The sequence below is a fragment of the Homo sapiens genome, chromosome 4, assembly GCF_000001405.40.
Source record: "Homo sapiens chromosome 4, GRCh38.p14 Primary Assembly".
In the NCBI taxonomy this organism is placed as follows: domain Eukaryota; kingdom Metazoa; phylum Chordata; class Mammalia; order Primates; family Hominidae; genus Homo; species Homo sapiens.
In genome coordinates, this window is record NC_000004.12 from 79,068,501 (window position 1) to 79,092,290 (window position 23,790).

Consider the following 23,790-nt stretch of genomic DNA (forward strand, 5'->3'; position numbering starts at 1 on the left):
TATCTAAGAATTAATTTAATCAAACTAAATGAAAGATCTATACAAGTAAATCTGTATAAAACACTGATGAAAGAAATTTAAGGGGACACACAAGAAAGAAGAAAGCTATTCCATGTTCATGGATTAGAAAAATTAATATTCTTAAAATAGCAACTCTCCACAAGGAAATTTATAGATTCAATGCAATTCCTGTCAAAATACCAATGACATTCTTCACAGAAATAGAAAAAAAGTCCTAAAATTCTTATGAAACCACAAAATGACCCAGAATAGTCAAAACATCCTGCACATAAAGCTCAAAAGTGGAGGAATCACATTATCTGACTTCAAATTATACTACAGAACCAGCATGGCACTGGTATAAAAACAGACTCATAGACCAATGGAACAGAATAGAGAACATAGATTTGAATCCATGCATTTACAGCCAACTCTTTTGATTAAAACACTAAGAGCAATACAATGGAGAAAGATCAATCTCTTTAATAATGGTGCTGAGAAAACTGGATGACCATATGCAGAATGAAACTAGACCCCTGTGTCTCACCATATACAAAAATCAAATTAAAATGTTGATTAAAGACTTAAAACTATGAAACTACTGGAAGAAGACATTGGAGAAGCACTCCATGACATTGGACTGGGTAAAAGTTTTTTGTTGTAAAATCTCAAAAGCACTGACAACCAAAGTAAAAATAGACAAATGAAATTACATCAAGCAAAAAGCTTCTTTACAGCAAAGGGAACAATCAACAAAGTTAAGAGACAAGCTACAGAATGGGGGACAATATTTGTAAACTATCCATCTGACAAGGGATTAATAACCAGAATATATATGGAGCTCAAACAACTCAATAGCTAAAAACCCAAAAATTCCAATTAAAAATGGGCAAAAGATCTAAATAAAGCATTTCTCAAAATGAGACATACAAATGTCCAATAAATAAATGAAAAATGCTCAACATCACTAAACATCACAGAAATGCACATAAGGACTACAATTAAATATTATCTCCTCCTAGTTAAAATGGTTTTTATAAAAAAGACAGGCAATCATGGGTGCTGGTGAAGATGTGGAAGAAAGGGAAACTCTTGTACACGGTTGGTGAAAATGTAAATGGTAAAGCCACTGTGGAATACAGTATGGAGGTTCCTCAAAAAACTAAAAATATAACCACCATATGATCCAACAATTCCACTTCTGGGTAAATATTCCAACATAATATCAAAGAGATATCTACACTCTCATGTTTACTTCAGCATTATTCATAATAGACAAAATATGGAATCAACCTAAGTTCCCATCAGTGTCCCTAACGGGAAATAATATGTAGTACATATACACAATAGAATATTATTCAGCCATAAAAACTAATGAAACGCTGTCAGTTACAGCAATGCTGAAGGTCATTATATTAAGTGAAAAAAGCAAAGCTCAGAAAGACAAATATTACATCTTCTCACTCATATGTGGGAGCTAAAAAAGTAGATCTCAGGAAGATAGAGTATATTGGTGGTTACTAGAGGCCAGGAAGGGTAGAGGAGGTGGTGAAGAGGGGTTATTTAGTGGGTACAAATATACAGTTTTTATAGAAGAAATAGGACCCAGTGTTTCATAGATCAGTAGTATGACTATAGTTTAATATAATCTACTGTATATTTAAAAATACCTAGAAGAGAATTCAAATGTTTCTAGCATAAATAAAAGACAAATATTTTAAGGTGATGCATATCCCAATTATACTAATTTGATCTTTAAAAATTACAGGAGTGCATTAAATTATTACTTGTACCCCCCAAAAGTATTTCAGCTATTTTTAAAAGTTTATTGCTACTTATAATGTTTAGAAAAATGTTTTTAAGTTCCAAAAACCAAACTAAACCAAACCAAAACTCAACGTGGAAAATAAAAACAAGATACTATTTGGAGAGTATCTTTAACCTAGATTATATTTATAATTTAATATGAAAAAAATTAAACATTGTAAAAATTCAGTCTTGCTATTATATATAACAAATTATTTTTATCTTTTCCTCAGTAAAATTTAAAACTTTTATGGGTAGGAATTTCTCACATATCATGTTAGGGTTATTTATAGGTATTTAATATTTTCGGTTTATTGAGTGTTGAATTTTTTTTAGTTTTACAAATAAAAATTATATATATTTATCAAGTACAACAAGATGTTTTGAAATATGTATATATCAGCAATGGCTAAATTGAGCTAGGTAACATATGCATTAGTTCACATATTTATGATTTTTCTGTGGTGAGAACACTTGAAATCTATTCTCCTAACAATTTCCAGAATACAAGATGAAAATTGAATATTTTTCGGTGGTTAGTGTTGGTATGTTGGAACGTCCTTGAATGTATGTATACTTTATAAGTGGCCATCGTATTGAATTCTTGTATTACTTTTATACATTTTTTCGGTGAATCTCTTGGTATTTTCTTAAAATGCATCTTCCAAAAAAGATCTTTTTTGCCTTTCCAGCAGTCATACCTCTTATTTGTTTATTTTTGTTTCATTGTATTGATTCAAATTTCCATGACAGTGTTCATAACAGTTCTGATATACTCATTCAACTTGAATGGAAATCTTTCTATTGTTTTGCCATTATGTGAAGTGTCATCTTTAATTTGAGATTTACTTCTTCAACATATTAAGAAATAAGTTGTTTATTCATAGTTTCAAATGTGTAAGTCAGAACTGTATCTCTTTATCTAATGCCTTTCTGGCCATTGATTAAAATGTATATATAGTTTTCCTGTTTTTGCTTATTTCTGTGATAAAACAATGTTAGGATACTGAATAATAATTGAATTCTTTTAAGACATCTTGCTTGGTCAGAGTAGGATTTTGTTTTGTAGTTTTATGTGGATTTAATATTGTTACCAAATTTTAACTTTATTTTTTTACTAACTTGACTAAATAAATTATGTTTTTCTGTGCTATGGAACAGACACGATCAGTTCCTGAACAGATTGGAAGGAACTTCCCCATAAAACTGTCTTTGGGAATTAAATCTTTGGAAATCTAAAAATGTACCTTTTTCTTATTTTCTAGAACTTTGTGTCCTCGATTTTGATCATTTACATATTTTCTTGTAAAGTGTTCAATATCATAAGGGTTTTAAAATTAATTTTCATAAAATTATTGATACATTTTTTTCTATAGAAATTATTTCAAGTTTTCTATTTTTTAAATTAATTTTGGTAGTGATTTTTTTTAGAAAACTGGTGATTTGTGAAGATTATTTTAAAATAAGCTTTATTGACATATAACTTAGGTGGAATAAATTCATTCTTTAAAGTTTGATGCGTTTTGGCAAACATATACATGATCATATCCATAGTTAAGATATTGAACAGTTCCATCATGCCAGTAAGTTTCTTTTTACCCCCTTTTAACCAATACCCACATCCCTCACCCCATCAGTGTTTGTTCTACTTTTATAACTATAAACTAGTTTTGCCTATTCTAGAATTTCATAGAAATGAAATCATTCAGTATGTAGTCTTTTTAGTCTGGTTTCCTTCATGTAGCGTAATGCTTTTTAAGTCTTCCACATTATTCTGTATATTAGAAGCTAGTTCCATTTTATTGCTGAGTAGCATTACATTATATGATATACCACAATTTCCTTGGCCATATCCCTGTTTATGGGCATTTGAAATGTTTCCAGTTTTCAGTTATTATAAAATTGCTTAAAATATTTGAGCACAAATCTTTGTGTAAACATCTCTTCACATACCAAGTGGAATTCCTAGTCCATATGGTAAGTGTATATTTACCTTTTTAAAGAAATTATCAAACTGGTTTCTAAAGTGATTTTTAACATTCAGATTTCTACGGCAATATACATGCGAATTCCAGTGGTTACATATCACCACTAACACTTGGTATTGTCATATGTATTTAGCTATTCTAGTGATTGTATAGTGGTATTTCATTCTGGTTCTAATTTGTATTTCTCTGATGATTAAAGATGCTAAGCATCTACTTTAAAATCAGCTTTATTAAGGCATAATTTGTATAACAAGTTATACATATTGCAGGCATACAATTTGATAAGTTTTAACGTATGTATACATTCATTAAACCATCACATAATCAAGATAACGAACATGTGTATACCCTAAAAGTTGCCTTGTGCAACTTCAAAATAATTTTTCCCTCCTGACATCTATCCCCAGGCAACCACTAATCTTTCTTTTACTATAAACAGTTTGAATGTTCTAGAATTATATATAAGTTGAGTCAAATATTATGTACTTTTGTTTTTCACTCAGCATAATTATTTTAATTTTTATCCACATTGTGTGTATAATAGTTCATATCTTTTTATTTTGGGGTAGTTGTACACTGTATGTCCATACCGCAATTTATTTCTCCATTCACCTGATGATTGGCATTTGGATTGTTTCCACTTTTTAGCTATTGCAAATAAATTGCTACAAACATTTGTTTTCAAGTCTTTATATAGACACATGCTTTCATTTCTCTTTCATAAATACATAGGAGCAAAATGACTAGGTCATGTGCTAGGAGTATGTTTAGCTTTTTAAGAAACTGCCAATACAGTTTTTCAGGGTGGCTGCTAGATGACATGATCTTATATGTAGAAAATCCCATAGTCTCATCCCAAAAGCTTCCTAAGCTGATAAACAATTTCAGCAAAGTCTCAGAATACAAAAAATCAGTATGCAAAAATCACTAGCATTCCTATACATCAACAACAGTCAAGCTGAGAGCCAAATTAGGAACAAACTCCCATTCACAATTGCCACCAAAAGAATAAAATACCCAGGAATACAGCTAACTAGGAAGGTGAAAGATCTCTACAAGGAAAATTACAAACCACTGCTCAGAGAAATCAGACATAACAAAAACAAATTGGAAAACATTCCATGATCATGGATAGGAAGAATCAATATCGTTAAAATGATCATACCACCCAAAGCAATTTATAGATTCAATGCTATTCCTATTAAAGTACCATACATTTTTCACAGAACTAGAGAAGACTATTTTAAACTTCATATAGAACCAAAAAAGAGCTTGAATAGCCAAGGCAATCCTAAACAAAAAGAGTGGAAGCTGGAGGCATCATGCTACCCAGCTTCAAACTATACTTCAGAACTATGGTAACCGAAACAGCATGGCACTGGTACAAGAACAAACACATAGACCAATGAAACAGAATAGAGAACCCAGAAATAGGACTTCAAACCTACAACAATCTGATCTTTGACAAAACCTGACAAAAACAAGCAATGGAGAAAGGATTTCCTATTTAATAAATAGTGCTGGGAGAACTGGCTATCAATATGCAGAGAATTGAAGCTGCACCCCTTCCTTACACCACATAGAAAAATCAACTCAAGATGATTTCAGGGCTAAAATGTAAAACCCAAAACTACAAAAACCCTAGAAGAAACTCTAGGTAATACCATTCAGGACACAGACATGGGCAAAGATTTCATAACGATAATGCCAAAAGGAATTGCAACAAAAGCAAAAATTTACAAATGGGATCTAATTAAACTAAGGAACTTCTGCAAGGCAAAAGAAACTATCAACAGAATAAACAGCCTACAGAATGGGAGAAAATTCTTGCAATCTATGCATCTGATAAAAGTCTAATATCCAGCATCTATAGGGAACTTAAATAAATTTACAAGGAAAAAAAACAACCCCATTAAAGAGTGGGCAAAGGACATGAACAGACACTTCTCCAAAGACGACATACATATGGCCAACAAACATATAAAAGGAAGCTCAACATCACTAATCATAGAAAAAGGCAAGTAAAAACCACAGTGAGATACCATCTCATACCAGTCAGAATGGCAATTACTAAAAAGTCAAAAAAGAATAGATGCTGGTGAGGTTGTGCAGAAAAAGGAATGCATTTACACTGTTGGTGATACATTCATGTGTATGTTCATTGGACCGCTTTTCACAGTAGCAAAGACATGGATTCAACCTAAATGCCCAGCAATGATAGACTGGATAAAGCAAATGTGGTACATATACACCATGGAATACTATGCAGCCATAAAAAAATGAGATCATGTTCTTGTGGGAACATGGATGGAGCTGGAGGCTATTATCCTTGGCAAACTAATGCAGGAACAGAAAACCAAATACCACCTGTTCTCATTTATAAGTGGGAGCTAAATGATGAGAACAGTTGGACACATAGAAGGGAACAACACACATTGGGGCCTTTTGGATGGTGGAGGTTGGAAGGAGGGAGAGCATCAGGAAAAATAAGTAATGGGTACTAGGCTCAATAAGTGGGTGATGAGATAGTCTATACAACAAACTTCCTTGACACAAGTTTACCTATGTAATAAATTTGTGCATGTCCCCAAAAGTTAAAAATAGATAAATATAAATAAAAAATGAAAAGAAAAACAACAACAAAGTGCTGCAGAATATGAGATTTCCCCATCAACACCAGCAGAATATAAGAATTCCTGTTGCTCTGCATCTTCAACAACACTTGGAAAGGTCAAGCTCTTTAATTTTAGTATTCTAATAGTATAGAGGAGTGTCACATTGTAGTTTTCCTTTGTTTGTCCGTAACTTAACAATTAATAATGTTGAGCATCTTTTCAAGTGTTTATTTGCAATTTGTATTTTCTTAGGTGAACTGTTTTTCAAATCTTTTGCCCATTAAATAATTGGATTGTTTCTTAGCTTATTATTGACTTTTGTGAGTTCTCTACATATTTGGGAAATAATTAGGTGACTTGCAAATACATTCTTCTAGTTTGTGGCCTTTAATTGTCTTAATAATGTCATAGCCACAGAAAAAACTTTTAGTTTTTATACAATCTGTTTTATCAATTGTTGTTTATGCATTGTGCCTTTGGTGTCATAGCTAAGAAATCTTTGGGTAACCGGAGCATACAAATATTTTCTCTTATTTTCATCTAGAAGGTCTGCAGTTTCAATTTTTTTTTTGCAACTTTATTTTAGGTTCAGGGGCAACTGTGCAGCTTTGTTACATGGGTAAATTATGTATCACAGGGTTTGGTGTACAGATAATTTTGTCACCCAGGTAATATGTGTAGTACCTGGTAAGTAAGTTTTTGATTCTCACCCCACTTTCACCCTTCATCCTCAAGTAGGCCCCAGTGTCTGTTCTCTTCTTTGTGCCCTTGTGTATTCAATGTTTAGCATCCACTTATAAGTGATAATATGAGATATTTGGTTTTCTGTTCCTGCATTAATTCACTTAGGATATTGGCCTCTAGTTCCATCCATGTTGCTGCAAAGGACATGATCTTGTTCATTTTTATGGCTGCATAGTATTCCATGGTGTGTATGTATCCCATTTTCTTTATCCAGTCCCCTGTTGATGGGCATTTAGGTTGATTCTTGTCTTTGCTCTTGTGAATAGTGCTGCAGTGAAAATATTATGTGTGTGTCTTTATGGTAGAACAATTTATATTCCTTTGGGTATATATCCAGTACTGGGATTGCTAGGTGGAGTGGTAATTCTGTTTTAAGTTCTTTGAGATATCTCCAAATTGCTTTTCACAGTGACTGAACTAGTTTACATTTCCAACAGCAGTATATGAATGTTTTTTTTCTCTGCATCCTCTCTAGCATGTAATTTTTTGACTTTTTAGTAACAGCCATCCTGACTAGTGTGAGAGGACATCTCATTGTGATTTTGATTTGCATTTCTCTAATAATCAGTGCTGTTGAGATTTTTTGTCATATGATTGTTGGCCGCATGTAGGTCTTCTTTTGAAAAGTGTCCGTTCATGTCCTTTGCCCACTTTTTTATGGGGTTGTGTGTTTTTTTCTTGTAAGTATGTTTAAGTTCCTTATAGATGCCGGATATTAGAACTTTGGTGGTTGTTTGTTTACCTGTTGATAGTTTCTTTTGCTTTGCAGAAGCCCTTTAGTTTAATTAGATCCAATTTGTCAATTTTTGCTTTTGTTGCAATTGCTTTTGGTAACTTTGTCATGAAATCTTTGCAGTTCCTATATCCAGAATGGTATTGCCTAGGTTTTCTTCCAGGGTTTTTATAGTTTCGGTTTTTACGGTTAAGTAAAATCCATCTTGAGTTGATTTTTGTATGTGGTGTAAGGAAAGGGTTCAATTTCAGTCTTCTGCAGGTGGCTAGCCAGTTATCTCAGCACCATTTATTGAAGAGAGAGTCTTTTCCCAATCAATTATTTCCGTCAACCGTACCAAAGATCAGATGGTTGTAGGTATTTGGCTTTATGGGTTTGTAAACCCATTCCATTGGTCTATGTGTCTATTTTTGTAGCAGTATCATGTTGTTTTGGTTACTATAGCACTCCAGTATAGTTCAAAGTCAGGCAGTATAATGCCCTTGGCTTTGTTCTCTTTGTTTAGTATTGCTTTGGCTATTTGGGCTCTTTATTTTTTGTTTCCATGTGTATTTTAGAATAGTTTTTTTTAAGAATAATTCTGTTAAAAATGTCATTGGTAATTTGATAGGAATAGCATTGAATCTGTCAATTGCTTGGGGCAGTATGCCCATTTTAATGATGTTGATCCTTTCTATCCATGAATATGGAATGTTTTTCCATTTGTTTGTGTCATCTCTGATTTCTTTCAGCTGTGTTTTGTAATTCTCTTTGTAGACATCTTTCACCCCCCTGGTTAGCTATGTTCCTAGATATTTTATTTTTTTGTGGCTTTTGTGAATGGGATTGCATTCTTGATTTGGCTGTCAGCTTGGACATTGTTGGTGTATAGAAATGCCACTGATTTTTGTATCCTGAAACTTTGCTGAAGGTGTTTATCTGATCCAGCAGCTTTTGGGCAGAGATTATGGGGTTTTCTAGATATAAAATCCTATAGTCTGTGAAAAGAGGTAGTTTAACTTCCTTTCTTCTTATTTTAATGGTTTTAATTTTGTTTCCTTGCCTGATTGCTGTAACTAGGGCACTATGTGGAATAGGAATGGTAAGAATAGGTATTCTTGTCTTGTTACAGTTCACAAGGGGAATGCTTGTGAACAGTTTTTGCCTGTTCAGTATGATGTTAGCTAGTGGTATGTCATAGATGGCTCTTATTATTTTAAGGTACATTCTTTCAATGCCATTTTGTTGATGGTTATTATGTTTAGAGATGTTGAATTTCATCAAAAGCTTCTTCTGCATTGAGATAATCATGTAGCTTTTGTTTTTAGTACTGTTTAAGTGATGAATGACATTTCTTGATTTGTATATGTTGAACCAACCTTGCATCCCAGGAATAAAGCCTACTTAATCATAGTAGATTAGCTTTTTGTTGTGCTGCTGGATTTTGTTTGCTAGTATTTTGTTGGGGATTTTTGTGTCTATGTTCATCAGTGATATTGGCTGAAGTTTTCTTTTTTGGTTTTATCTCTGCCAGATTTTGGTATCAGAATGTTTCTGGCCTCAAAGAATGAGTCAGGAAGTCTTCCTCCATTTTTTTTTTTTTTGGAATTATTACAATAGGAGTGGTTTCCAGCTCATCTTTATATGTCTGGTAGTCTTTGGGTGTGAATCTGTCTGGTCAAGGGGTTTTTCTGGCTGGTAGGCTTTTTATTACTCTTCATTTTTGAAACTCGTTATTGGTCTGTTCAGAGTTTTAATTTCTTCCTAGTTCAATGTTGGCAGGTTATGTTTCCAGGAATCCATCCATTTCTTTTAGGTTTTCTAGCTTGTGTGCATTGAGTTGTTCATAACAGTCTCTGAGGTTTTTTGTTTTTTTCTTTCTCTTGGTTCGTGATAATTTTTAGGTTTTGAAGGGAAGGCGAGGGTTAAAGATATATACAGAGAGAGGGTGGCTCAAACAGCAACACAGGTATATTGCAGAAACCTGCAGAAATGGAGGACTGGCTTAAGGCCAGAGCCACCACTGCTTACAGGCTGTACTTGTAGGTATGGGTGGGAGGAGTCTGGGCCATATGGTTTGCTGCCCGTCAGGATGTTGATAAGATGTTCCCATGTTGAGGCAGTTCTGGCCCTTGTTCCAGCAGAATGTGGTGTTCCTTGCACTTTCTCCCAGCAGAATATGATAGGGATGTTTCTTTAGTTGGGCCTTTGCCTAGCAGGATGTCATAGGGATGTTTCTTTAGTTGAGCCTTTGCCTTTAGCTGGGCCTTTGCCTGCCTTGTGGTCAGGTGATTAGGCAGGCTGTTTCTCATGGCCTGAACCCACATGAAATGTTTCACTTTGACCAAGGTCTGCAAAAAAGCAGGGAGCTTACATAACAATGCAGTTTGGACTAACGGTAATGTCCCCTTGTCATTTCTAATCATGTTTATTTGGATTGTTTTTTCTTTCTTAGTCCAGCTAGCAGTCTATCAAGCTTATTTATTCTTTAATATAACCAAGTTTTGGTTTTGTTGATTTCAGCACAGAAGACTTCTGTGAGCAAATCTATGAGATTGTTTTCCTTGCACACCAAGCAAGCAGTCAATTCTGCAGTGAACACCAGCTAGATGTACTCCAATTCAATTCTGACACTATTTACCTGAAGATAACATTAGTCATAAGCCCTCAGCCCCTGGAACTTCTGATCAACCAGTTTCAAGTTGTCATTTCCACTTTGGGTTAAATTACTTTGCTAGGGAAGCTCACAGAGCTCAAGGAAACTTACGTTTACTGGTTCATTATAAAAAAATATTCCAAATGATACAGATGAAGAGATGCATAGGGTGAGGCATGTGGGAAGGGGCATAAAGTTTCCATGCCCTTTCTAGGTGCACCATCTTCCAGGAACCTCTGTGTGTTCAGCATTCCAGACACTCCCAACCCTGTCTTCTAGGGCCTTTTTATGGAGACTTCTTTAGATAGGCTTGATTGACAACCGTGTAGAAATGTGATTAGACAAAAAGGGTATCATCTTATGCTAATAGACTGAGTGGGGAAACCCAGCAAGGTTTGTATGTTCAGATTTTTCTTGGCCTCTCTGTGCAGCATTCCTTCCTCCAGGGTATGGGGCAGAATTTGTTCTGAAATGTGAAACTTATGACCTACAATCAGAAAGACAGGGGAAGATTAGTGTCTTGCCTTGGGTTGGTGAAAGGAGGGCAGGGGAAGGTCAGAAAGAGAGATTTTGTTTTCTGAGGTTTGCTTCTTAGGCCTAAAGTGCACCGTTATAATAAAGACTGTAACAAGGGCTATAGAGGTTGTGAGCCAGGGATTGTGGACAAAACCATATATATAAAATATCACACATTGCTTTAGTTGCATACCACAAATTTTGATGTCTGTGTTTACATTTCTATTAAAGCCAAATATTTTTTATTGTTACTATTTTTAAAAAGTTTTAATTGATCATTATTTGAGCATTTTAAAAAACTTTTATTCTAGGTTCGGGGGTCCATGTGCAGGTTTGTTATATATGTAAACTTGTGTCACAGGGGTTTGGTGTACAGATTATTTCATCACTCAAGTACTAGGCCTACTACCCAATAGTTATTTTTTTTCTGATCCTCTCCCTTTTCCCATGCTCCACCTTTGGGTAGGTCCCCGTGTCAGTTGTTCCCCTCTTTGTGTCCATGTGTACTCATCATTTAGCTCCCACTTTTAAGTGAGAACATGCAGTATTTGGTTTTCTGTTTCTGTGTTAGTTTGCTAAGGATAATGGCCATTAGCTCAATTCATGTTCCTGCAAATGACATGATCTCATTATTTTTTATGAATGCCAAGTATTTTATAATTTCCCTTTTAACTTCTCATTTGATCCACAGATTTTTCAGAAGTGTTATTTAATTTCCAAATATTATGGCATTTTCAGATTGTTATCATTAATTTCTAATTCAATTACATTATAGTCAGAGTACATTGTATAATTTTAATAATTTTAAGTTTAGGCTTGCTTTGTTGGGTTGAGTACTCTACAATGTCAGTTATGTCAAGATGGTTGATTGTGTTGTTTAAGGCTTATATACTCTTATTATTTTGTGTCTACTTAATCTATTAATTTATTAAAATAAAGTGTTGAATCTGCAACTATAATTCTGGATTTGTCTCCTTATGGTGTTTTTCAGCTTTGCTTTATGTGTTTTGAATCCCTGTTTAGAGCATATATAAGTAGGATTACTCTGCCTTAATTGTCACATTTGACATTTTGAAATATTTATTTTAAATTCTGTAATATCCCTTTTTCTGAAGTGTATTTTTCCTGATATTAATATAGCTACTTCAGTTTCCTTTTGATTAGTATATGAATTTTTTCTAATTTTTAAAATCTTTTTATTTTTAATCTGAATCTTTATATTTTAAGTGAATTTCTTGTGAACAATATATGGTTTAGTCATGTTTTTTATTCAGTTAAAAAATGTTTGCTTTTTATTGGAAACTTTAGATAATTTACATGTAATGTAATTATTAGTATGGTTCAGGCTAGGTTTACCATTTTCTTATTTGTTTTATTTTTGACCTGTATTTTCTCTTCTTCTCTTTACTCTTTTTCTGCTTCTATTTGAGTTAGTCTGAATATTTTACAATTTTTGTCTTTAGCAATACTTCTGGATTTTTAACAAAATATCTGTCTTATTTCATTTCACTAAATGAAATCTACATTATTATAGTCTACTTTATTATCTATTATAATCTACATTCATATAAATTACATACTTCCATTTCCTCCTTCCAATCTTTTGTTCTATTGTTAGCACAAACATTTTCTTACATGTTATAAACCTCAAAATACTATCACTATCTTTTTTAAAAAAACTTTAAAATGACAAAAATATCTGTTATATTTACCACATATTTACCATTTTGGCACTCTTAAATTTCTCTGTGTGTATTGAAATTTCCAGGTGGGTTTATTTTCCTTCAGCTAGAATAATTACTTTTAACATTTCTTTAATGGAAGTCTGATGCCAAAAAATTGAAGATTTGACTTTTCTTAAAAAAATGCTTCCTTTGCCTTCATTTTTGAAGATTTTTTTTCCAGATGTAAAATTTTAGTTTTATCATTTTTTTCTTTCATTACTTTAAAGAGGTCATTGCATTGTCTTTTCAAGTGCATGACTGTTGGTGTTTGAGGTTATTCTTATCTTTGTTTCCCTGTTGTGTGTAACATGCTTTTTTTCCCCCACTGGCTGGTTTTTCAGTTTTCTCTGTATTAGTAGTTTGAGCAATCAGATTATGATGCTCCTTAGTATAGTTTTATTTGTGATTGTACTGCTTTTATTTAAAATCTTAAAATTGAAGGTATATAATTTTCATCAAATTTTGAAAAATTTTGACAATTATGTTTTTAAATATTTTGTTTCCTCTATTCTGATAGTTGCTACACTAGATAGAAAGTGATAGACACAAAGTAATATATATAATACGCTGTGATATACTGCTTGTTTTCAGAAATAAAAATAGTAAAAAAGCAATAATTTTGATATTGCAGTATGATTCTTGCAAATTGCTTTACCTATATTTAATATAATACTTAAAGAAATTGTAAAAATAAGTCCATTTACTCTATTAGTTCATGATCTAATTGAGGGTGATTGACACAAAAGAAATAGCAATAATATGTTGTGATAAATTCTTTAATGGAGGTTTTCATTGTGCACTGTGTAGCAAAAACAAAACTAAATGTCATTTATTGGGGTTGCTGGTCAGAGAAGGGTGGTGACATTTCAGCTGGGTATTAAAGTATGAAAATAAGTGTACTAGTTAGAGAAATGGGGAAGAGAGATATGTTATATGGAGAGAAGAACATTTTTCTAATGCTCAGAGGTTTAAACAAGCCTTATTTTTTCGAGGAAATGATGAGCCATTTACTGTTGCAGAAGCTGAAAAGCAAGAGTTTGTGAAGAAAGAAGTGTTAAATAAGCAGGTTTGCTGCAGACTGTGAAGGTCCTTGAGTGCTACATTAACAAATTTGGATTTTGAAATAAAAGTAGTATATTGTGGTTCCTTTATATGGTGATTTATTTTATATGATATTAGGAGAATGGTGACTCAAGCAAAGTAGCAAGTAATAGTGGCATTTTAGCAACTTTGATACTGAAGTAGTTACAGGGGCACTCTCTTGTTTCCAATTTTTCAAATCTTTCTTAATTTTATACAAACAAATAAGTATGCAGTAGGCTTTCATTTACATGCTTTTATGGTCACCTAAGTGAGGAACTGTGACAGATAAGCTTAGAGAACTGCCTTAGTCTTACTCACATGGGACAGAATTCTGTCTTGGCCTTTTGAGTTTGAGATGTTTGGAATGTTGGTGACGTTTTTTAGTTCAATGATTTAATTTACTGAGCTAGGAAGGAAATATCTGAAACTGGCATGAATTCTTGCCAAAAGATTACCTAGGGAAATATTAGATTTCCTGACTCCAGTCTCTATCCCTTTTAAACAGATAATTTAGAGGAGAATAAAAAATATTGAAAATTAATGGCAATTTTGAAATAGAATATTTGGTCAAAATCAAATTCATTTCATTAAATGCTTGAGAAGAATGCAATGAGTAAATGAGGTATGAATAACTGTAAGATGGGACAATTACCACCTCAGAAACAATATATTTGTAAAGTTAATTCCTCTCGAACATGAACAATCCCCTTACACTTGACCCCTTTCTATTGCCTCTTCCATGCTTGAACTCTCCTTGAACTTTGAAGATCCATCTTGAGAGTATGATACGGCCATCTCTTTTGCATCTGGTTATTTTAGCTCCAATTTGCAGCCTTAAATGGCAATTATGATGATATATTGCTCAAGTCACCCGACATGGATTAGTATCGGGATCAGCACATTTACGCACAGGAGTAGTGAATGGAGACTGCAGCTATGATTTTAAATGACTTGATTAATTCTGAAACAACATTTCAGAGTCCATTAGGTCCAGCAGGTGTTGGGGTGCAGACTATGCTTTTTCCGTAAGCAGCATATTTGATTAAAGTGCCAAAGTATTTTGGATTCATACATTATCTTTCCCAGAATAGTTTCCTTTCACTCTGTTAAATTTCCTAAACAGCCACCACTCCTCCTGAAAGAGATCTTCTTTCTGTTTTGTCTCTACTCAAGTTCTCTTGTGTCAGTTACTGACTGCCAGCTCTGTTTGAGCAACCTGAACAATGTGTTCTGTTCTTGTTCAAGAAGGCATTTACATGACAGAACTCCAAGTACCCCACCGCTAAAAGCTCCTGCTGACTCAGGTCAAAATAAGGCCAATTGTGCTGTTTATCCTAAGGGCCATTTTATCAGCAACTTGTGTCAAGGTTAGAAATGTGTCTGGTTAATGCCTTGGCTCAATGCTTTCTTTAACTACTAAATATACATGTATATGACATTGGCATCTCCCGTCCTCCCTCCATCCCATCTGGGTGTCCCTGCTCTAATAAAATATGTAGGGCTGGGTTTTTTATTTAAGTTCTTTAGGGTTTTAAATTCCTAGATTCTTTGTTGATTTCCATGTATTCTAAAGTGATTTCTTTTAAAAATTCTTACAATGAGCCATGCATGCTTCATTACTCTCAATTCTTTTCTTTACAACATAAAGAACATAACAATGGGTCTATAGTACAACATTTATAGAGAGATCGTAAAATGTGGTATACCATGAATTGTTCTGTCATCTGTTCCCCTGGTATAATGTACCTGTCTCTATTATAGTACAAATCAACATGTATTCTATCTATTTGTGTGTTACCACATTTGTCTTCCTTAGGAGTCACATCTTATTCTTCTATCTTTATGCCTATCATATATTTATCCGTCTATCCGTTCATCCATCCATCCACCATTCCATCCACTCACCCACTTATCTATTCATCTATTTAACATATTTAGAGCCTCCTGTTATTATTATTACTATTATTATTGTTATTTAGATAATCAATATTTTTAATTACATTGAATTCGTATGTTCTGGGAAGCCAAACAAAGAACAATAAAATATTTTGTCCCCGCTATCCTGATGGTTGCTGGATTAGACAGAAAATGATAGATACAAAGAAATATCTATAATATGCTGCAGATAATACTGCCTTTAGTCCATGCAAGTAATGCTGCCATTATAGATATATAACATAATGAGAACATAAAAAATGTATAAAAATTTTGCAGAAATAGGAGGCAGGGCTAGGCATGGTGGCTCACGCCTGTAATCCCAGCACTTCGGGAGGCTGAGGCAGGTGGATCACCTGAGCTCAGGAGTTAGAGACCAGTCTGGGAAACATGGCAAAACCCTTTCTCTGGATATGGTGGCATGTCCCTATAGAACTGTAGTTCCAGCTTCTCTAGAGGCTGGGGTGGAAGGATGACTGGAGCCCAGGAGGCAGAGGTTGCATGCAGTGATCCAAGATCATGCCACTGCACTGCAGCCTGGGTGGGAGGGAAGGAAGGAAGGAAGAGAGAGAGAGAGAGAGAGAAGAAAGAAAAGAAAGAGAAAGAAAGAAAAAGAAAGAAAGAAAGAGAAAGAAAAAGAAAGAAAAGGGAAGGGAAGGGAGAAAGGGAAAGAGAGAAAGAAAGGAAAAGAAATAGGAAGCTGCACACTTGGGCACTAGAATCAGCTTTATCACTACTGGTTGAGTAACTTGAGGAAGTCACATAATCTCTCTTTGTGAGCTTTTTCATCATTAAAACATAGATGAAACTACTTATTCCACCCAGTTGATGGGGATGTTGAAAGGCTGAATAAAAGAATATAAATGAAAATATTTTGAAAACCATACAACGATATATGTTGAGATGATGGTGAAGATGATAATTGAAAGTATATGGTTATGTTTCAGATGTGGTGTGCCTGGGAATAATGTCACCAATAGCATAAGAATTAATGTCTACTATGATGCTGAAATAAATAAACTGGTAAAACTACTCTGCTGTCTAAATCCCCAAGTTACAAATTTACAGGTACATTTGATATACTGACTGATACAAATTTCCTTTGCAAGAAATAGTACCAAGTTTAGCAGTAACAGCAGTAACAGTTCAAATTTTTCTGTTTTTTTTTTTTCTTTGACAGAGTCTTGTTCTGTCACCCAGACTGGAGTGCAATGGTGCAATCTCAGCTCACTGCAACCTCTGCCTTCCGGGTTCAAGCTATTCTCCTGCCTCAGCCTCCCGAGTAGTTGGGATTATAGGCACCCACCACAATGCCTGGCTAATTTTTGTATTTTTAGTAGAGATGGGGCTTCACCATGTTGGTCCAGCTGGTCTCGAACTCCTGACCTCAGGTGATCAGCTCACCTCAGCCTCCCAAAGTGCTGGGATTACAGTTGTGAGCCACCATTCCTGGCCCAAATTTTTCTGCTTTAATAAATGGAGTATATTATAAAGATAGAATACAGATTATTTTAATGTTGAATGAACTTAAGTTACCTAATAATTTTCTATACTGGTTTAAAAATTGATATAATTTTATAGAACTGCTCATATTACAGTTCTTTAATATATGATCTTAGAAATGGAAAGTTTCTCTATTCCTTTCATCTCTTTCTCCTTGCAAATTTTGAAACAACTGAGAGATAGGATATAGGGATCAGACAAATAGAAATCCTTATTACTCACAACAGCTTGAATTAGTGAATATCGCTTTAAATTTATGTCCAGAGAGGGCTTGCTAATATATCACTTAATATGAACCTTTCCTATCTCCCAGAGCTGCCGGCTTCCCCTTGAAGGAATAGGAGTAGACCTGCTGAACTATCACATGAGAGAAGAGGCCCAAAAGCTTGCACACTACAGTCAAGCTGGCCCTTAAAGAGATGGACCTAGAAGATGCTGAGCCAGATGTACTCAATTACTTCTCCAAAATTCATCAATTAGGTAAGACACTCTTCCCATGAAAGGAGGTAGCTGGGGGAGAGGCTGAAGTAATCCTTCCATGCTTTGTTTCCTAGGGAATAGAGTGGACATTTCCTGCTCAAGGTGGAAAATTGTGTAGTAATAAATGTCCTCAATACATAATTATCATCTATTACCCAGTGGGCAAATTCCACCACTGCAGAGATCCAGACTGCAATACTAGAGGTAGCCAATATCTACACAACTCTCTGAGGAAGAGAAAAGGGCCTTTTTCTTCTATGTTTCTCCTGTAACCCCTATGGTACTCATATAGCAGACCCGAAAGAGTGCCAATATAAGAAAATCATGAAGTTACTCAAAAATCAGTCTTACTCTTTTGGTCAGGCTTTTTTCTTCTTTCTTCTTACATTCTGAAAAACCAAGATTATTGATTTCAAATGGCAGATGATCAGGTACTTTCAATGTGTTAACAGATGTCAGTAGTAAATTGTTCAATCACTGTTGAAATGGATGAAGAATAACAACATTTTTTAGTACATGATATTTTGTAAATGTCATCATTTTGGCCTTGTGTTACTTTTCTAGGTAACACTTGGGTAGAAAAAACAGCTAATTGAATTTTATAAATCTGGTTGAACATCTATTGTGTTCAAGCCATTATGCCAAGTGCTGTGAAAAATGCAAAAAGACTAAGACATACATAGTTCCTACGTATATATATGAACAATTTCATCCATAGGCATTTATATTCTGGTAGAAATATACTGAAGAAAATTCCAATACGGGGAAAGCAAAGATAGAATACAAAGTCCAAAGTAAAACAGAACAAACCCTGAACTGCCTAGATTAAAAATAATGGAAAGGAGATGGAAAAAAAAAAAAAAAGAAAGGAGACGGTAGTTCTAAAGACATGTATTCCAGCTGGTGGGAGGTATATCTGAACAGATTGAACCACAGAATCCACCAAAGTATTATACAGCCGAACAATAGCACAAAGCCCTAAGAGCCAGAGAGGGAGCTTTGAATAGCTCAGCCAATCTTTCACTTTGAATGGATAGCATTGAGCAGAAGCTTCTTGGGCCTTGGCGCAGAGTGTGGGAGGAAAGAGGACATATTATTAATATCTTATCCCTGAGCTTTAAAATGGGAACAATGGGCTGCTTATTCAAACTGAATTGAGATGACTGACCTGTTCCAAATAGGCAAGAAACTCTTAATTTTAAACCTAACCATCTTAATACCACAGAGTTTCCACAAATGGAATTACTTTGCAGAATAGCACACTGTCATTTCTTAATTTTTAAAGAAGTTTCTTTAAACAAAACTAAAGCTCATGTCAATGCACAGTTTAGAAGAGAGACTTATGTCCTAGTGAAATTGCCAAACAGGACTCAAGCCTCCCTTGAAGATGACAATAGAGAAATAAATATATGCTAATTAAGTTTCTTATTTGTGCACTTTGCAAAATGTCAGCTCCCATCTCATCGTAGAATTATAGAATTCTTAAAGTTAGAAATGTTTTTTCAAATAATCCAAGAATAATCTCCCACTTATTTCAGTAATGTCTTCTCCTAAAGCATCCCTCATAGTCATAGGAAGCACATTTACCTTCTGAGGAAGCCACAGTTTGGCACTTTTTATGATTAAAAAGTTCTTTTTTTTATGGTGAGACAAAATCTACTACCTTGCAACTTCTATCACTAATCCTGTTTCTGACCTTTAGACAAAGACAGACCAAATCTACATTTATTCTTTGCATGACATTTTCCAGGAGGGTATCTTAGAAATAATGTTTCTGTCTGTTTTATTTAATTACCAGTGATGTCCCATCCTAGTGCCACACACTCTTTTGAATCTTTTCCACATCTCCTTTCCCATACAACATTGTTGCAGGGTGAGTGCGGGGCATAAACAAGTGTTGGGCATTGCATGAACAGATGGATGCGTAGAGTTTTAAGGTTTGAGAGAGGTTCAGAGGAAAAGCTATCTGTTGTAAATAGGGATGCTTTGCAGACCACTACTTTATGCAGTTTGCCCACTAAACAATTTCTGAATGGGCAAGAAAAACTGGGAGCCCATTTTCTTAGCATTTAGTGGTGAATTTTATGTGGTTATATATGTGTATCTTGGACCTTATCTTTATAGATGAAAGCAGGAAAAACATATTTCTCTGTAGAAAATTGCTTTATTCCGGGTTAATTTATCTAAATTTTGTGTGATTATTCATTGTGCAGGGTAATTTCTCATTTGTCCATTGTTCTTATTTTTCTTGAATTGGTATTGCCTAAGGCACTACAAATTGTTGAGGTGCAAATACCAATTATTACTCAGAAATGACCAGCTAGTTATCTTCAAGAAACGCAAGCTTTGACTTGAATTATTTTATCATTTGAAACTCTATTTCCCTATGAGTTTTCAGTGGTAGCAGGGTTATTCAGGCAAAAAAATTAAGGATTTCCTTAACGTCTAATTTTAAGGAAGGGGATTATAAAAGAAAGTGAATGGTTGTTCTAATTAGCTAGGAAAACTTATACATTGTAGGTTAATATAGGAGTGATGCCAGGGATATGGAGTGGAGTGCTGAGTCTGTGTGAGGACCCTAAGGAGGTGGTGCATGGGGCACTGTGTTTTAAGAGGACTATCCTTCATTAGATAATCTGCAACTCACATTTTCCTCAAACACCAGCAACTTGTTAACATGTTTTGCCTGAGAAAATGAGTAACCAAATCTTCACACCCTTTTAAGACTGGAGAGTAGGCAGACTTCATGCCTTGATGCACCACAGAGGGACCCTCTTTTCAAGTTTGCACAGAACTCTTCTGGTGCCTCCCCCACCATTCTTTCCAACCTCCAGCCCTTTGAGACACCAGCCTGACACTAGTTGTGTCTATAATGAATGAGGAGGAGTGGCAACATCCCATTCCCTGTCACAGACCTGAAAAATTCCATTGAAATATTTTATCTGAAGCAGAATCTGACCTCAGGCATACAATATCCTTTGTTCACATTTCTCACTCTGCTCACCACTGAAGTGGTGAATTTTAACACAAGAAGCTCAAGAAAGATGTGCAAAATAGGGTATAGGGATATACAAATCCTTATTTTATTAACACTGTAAATTCTACTTCCTCAGAATTTCCAATTTTTCCCTGCCTAGCAGCATAAAGACAGTTAAAGGGACTTTTGGTGACATTCCCCTTGTTTAATGAAGCTTGGATTTATGGGCAAGTGCCTTGAACTGCTGTTATTATCTGCATGAGTGAATAAGGGCTGAGGGTCCAGATCTGTGCAAAGAGTTCTACTGCAAATAGGCACATTGATCATTCATAATCAGACCTACCAGGTCAGCAGTGCTGCAGTGCCAGCAGGCTCTGAAAAAGCTGACCAAGGGAGCAGTAGTGCTCACAGGTTAATGTAATATTCAGGCAGAATAAGATCTTTCTTATATACTAATCTCTTTGCTTTTTTTCTGGCATAGTGGGAGTGAGAGCTAAAACACACTTGAACTATATCTCATATAACCAATCGCAGAGCCATCCTCTGTTCATCTGAGGGTTCTACCTGTTTCCAGAGCCTTACTTCTTTTAGAAGTGCATTTCTTCTGTGTAAAAGTTTGTGCTTTAGATCTGCCATTGCCATACTATTTAGGGTATTATGAAACTGCTTTGTTGTAAATATATTATCTTCTGATTCCCGATGTTATCTCACATGAGAGGTCACATTTAGAAGAGAGCAATTACAAGACATCACTATTTGAAGCTTCAGGGTGAATGTTGTACCAAATGTTTGTTTCTTCATCATTCCCTGGGCTAATAAGTATTAAAATATATATTTGAATACATCAACATCTGATTTAAAAATTTAGCTTTGTGTAAATTACTGTATTTATAAAAACCTGATGAAAATATTACTATCATGATCCATTAGAGTGGTATTCATTTCACATCACCATCTTTGTGTGTATTGTACTGTGGATGCAATCATTTGGGGACAATTGAAAAGGTGAGTGCCTTCTTCTAGGTGTACAAATTTTGCAGAGCTAGAAATAAATATGTTTTAGGTTTTCTGCTTCCCAATTCTTCTTAAAAGAGTCACAAACGTAAGGAGGTATTAATCACTGAAGGGCACAGTGATGCTTCTAGGGGTGTAAAATTTTAGCAGAGTCTCAAATCTAAGAGGAGGATTTTGAGATTAATATCATATGCTGAGAGCACCAGAAACCTAATTTGATATCCTATGTTCATACAGCAAAATGGTGTTGCTAGCCCATTGTGAATTGGATGTGCTTTGTGAATTATTTTCCTATTGGTGATGAATTTGCAGTGATATATCTGCATGCAATCATTCAATTGACCTTGTTACCAATGACAAGCATATGTCAGATGGTTGGCAAGGGTGGGAGTTTACTGTCATTTGAATGATGATTCCATGAGCTTGTTAGTATGATCGCCTAATCAGCTATGCTAAGTGAGCACAGGGTACATCAAAGGGTTAAGAAGAAAAATGTGACCAGTTCATTAATCACTTCTTCAGAGACCTGATTCAGGAAATCGTTGGAATTCAACTGAGGGCATGATTCTCCCACCTTGTGTTGAGAAATGAGACAGAATTCTTACTCTAAAACAACCAAATATATACATTTACATATGGAAGTAGTTTTAGATTTTTTGCCATGTTGTCAAATAAACTTTACAATCATCCTAAAATCATCAAATCCCAGCAGGCTTTGATTATTGATTTGTAATAGCTAAATACTTAGTCAATATTTAAGGTAATGGTGATTTGATTTAAACTATTATTTGGGAAAATTTGAATCCTAGAGCTTTATAAATTAAAGGGACTTGATTTAATAACTCAATAGCTAAGTTATCTTGAGGCTCAGGAAAGTTAAATGACAGTCCTGAGGCCATTCTGCTGGAGATCTGAGATTTAAGCCTCGGGACTCCTAGTTTTTAGCTCAGTGTTCCTCACTTTATGCTCTGTAGTAATTTGCATCCTTCAGTTTTGCACACATGAATATGAGTTTCTGATGTCAAAAAATGTGAAGAATAAAACCATTCTGGTAACCATGGTAATTTTATATGAGACTTCTATTCTTTTTTATTGTCTTTTCATTTGTTTGGCTAGTAAGCTTTTTAAAAACATTTTCCAATACATTCAACACAAACTGCACTTTTAAAAATATTGTATTTGAGAATTATTTTATACTTATAGAAAAGTCACAAGAATAAAACAACTAATCCCCACATACTCTTTACCCAGCTTCTCCAATATTAACGTTTTATCATATTTGCTTCATTCTTTCTCTATTGTATAAATATATTTATTTTTTAACCATTTGAAATCATTGCGGATATTGAAGCTTGATATTTCAGTGTGTATTTCCTTAAAACAAGGGCATTTTCCTGTATAACAACAGTACAACCATCAAAATTCAGGTATTACCATTGATAGATCCACCGTGTAATCCACAGTCACCATTCAAATTTCACCTTTTATTCAAATTATATCTTTAAAAGGTCCAGGATTCGACAGAGAATCATTTGCTGTATTAAATGTCATGTCTCTTAAATATCCTTCAGTCTGCAAAATTTCTCAGTCTTCTCTTGTCTTTCATGATCTTGATAATTTTGAAGAGTATGAGCCAGTGGCTTTGTGGAACATCCCTCAGTTGGGGATGGTCTGAGGTTTCCACATAACTAAATTTAGGTTATGTATATTTGGCAGGAATGCAACAGAAATAATGTTGTATCATTTTCTGTTTGTAACAACAGGTACCCTCTTACAATTTTCCCGTGTTTGGTAGCTACACTTTGATCACTTGATTAAAGTGTTGTCTGCCAGGCTTCTCCATTGTCAAGTATTTCATACTTATTAAAAAATAATCATTAAGTATTTATGGAGATAGTTTTGAAATTGTATAAGTATTTTATTTCTCATTAGACTGTCACCTGTTAGTATTAACATCCATTGATGATGCTTTTCTGATACAATTTTTTCATAGTTGCCAAATAGCTATTTTCTTATACTGTTGTTCCTTCTACATTT

The 23,790-nt window shown here is 34.4% G+C and overlaps 1 long non-coding RNA gene across 1 annotated transcript in view; it reads left to right on the forward strand.

Moving 5' to 3' along the window:
• Window positions 1–23,790, forward strand: part of LINC01088 (long intergenic non-protein coding RNA 1088) — a 337,052-nt gene that overhangs the window by 96,753 nt on the left and 216,509 nt on the right. The window contains exon 3 of the long non-coding RNA NR_038342.1: window positions 17,596–17,762. This is a non-coding gene — a long non-coding RNA (long intergenic non-protein coding RNA 1088). The remainder of the gene's footprint in view (window positions 1–17,595; window positions 17,763–23,790) is intronic.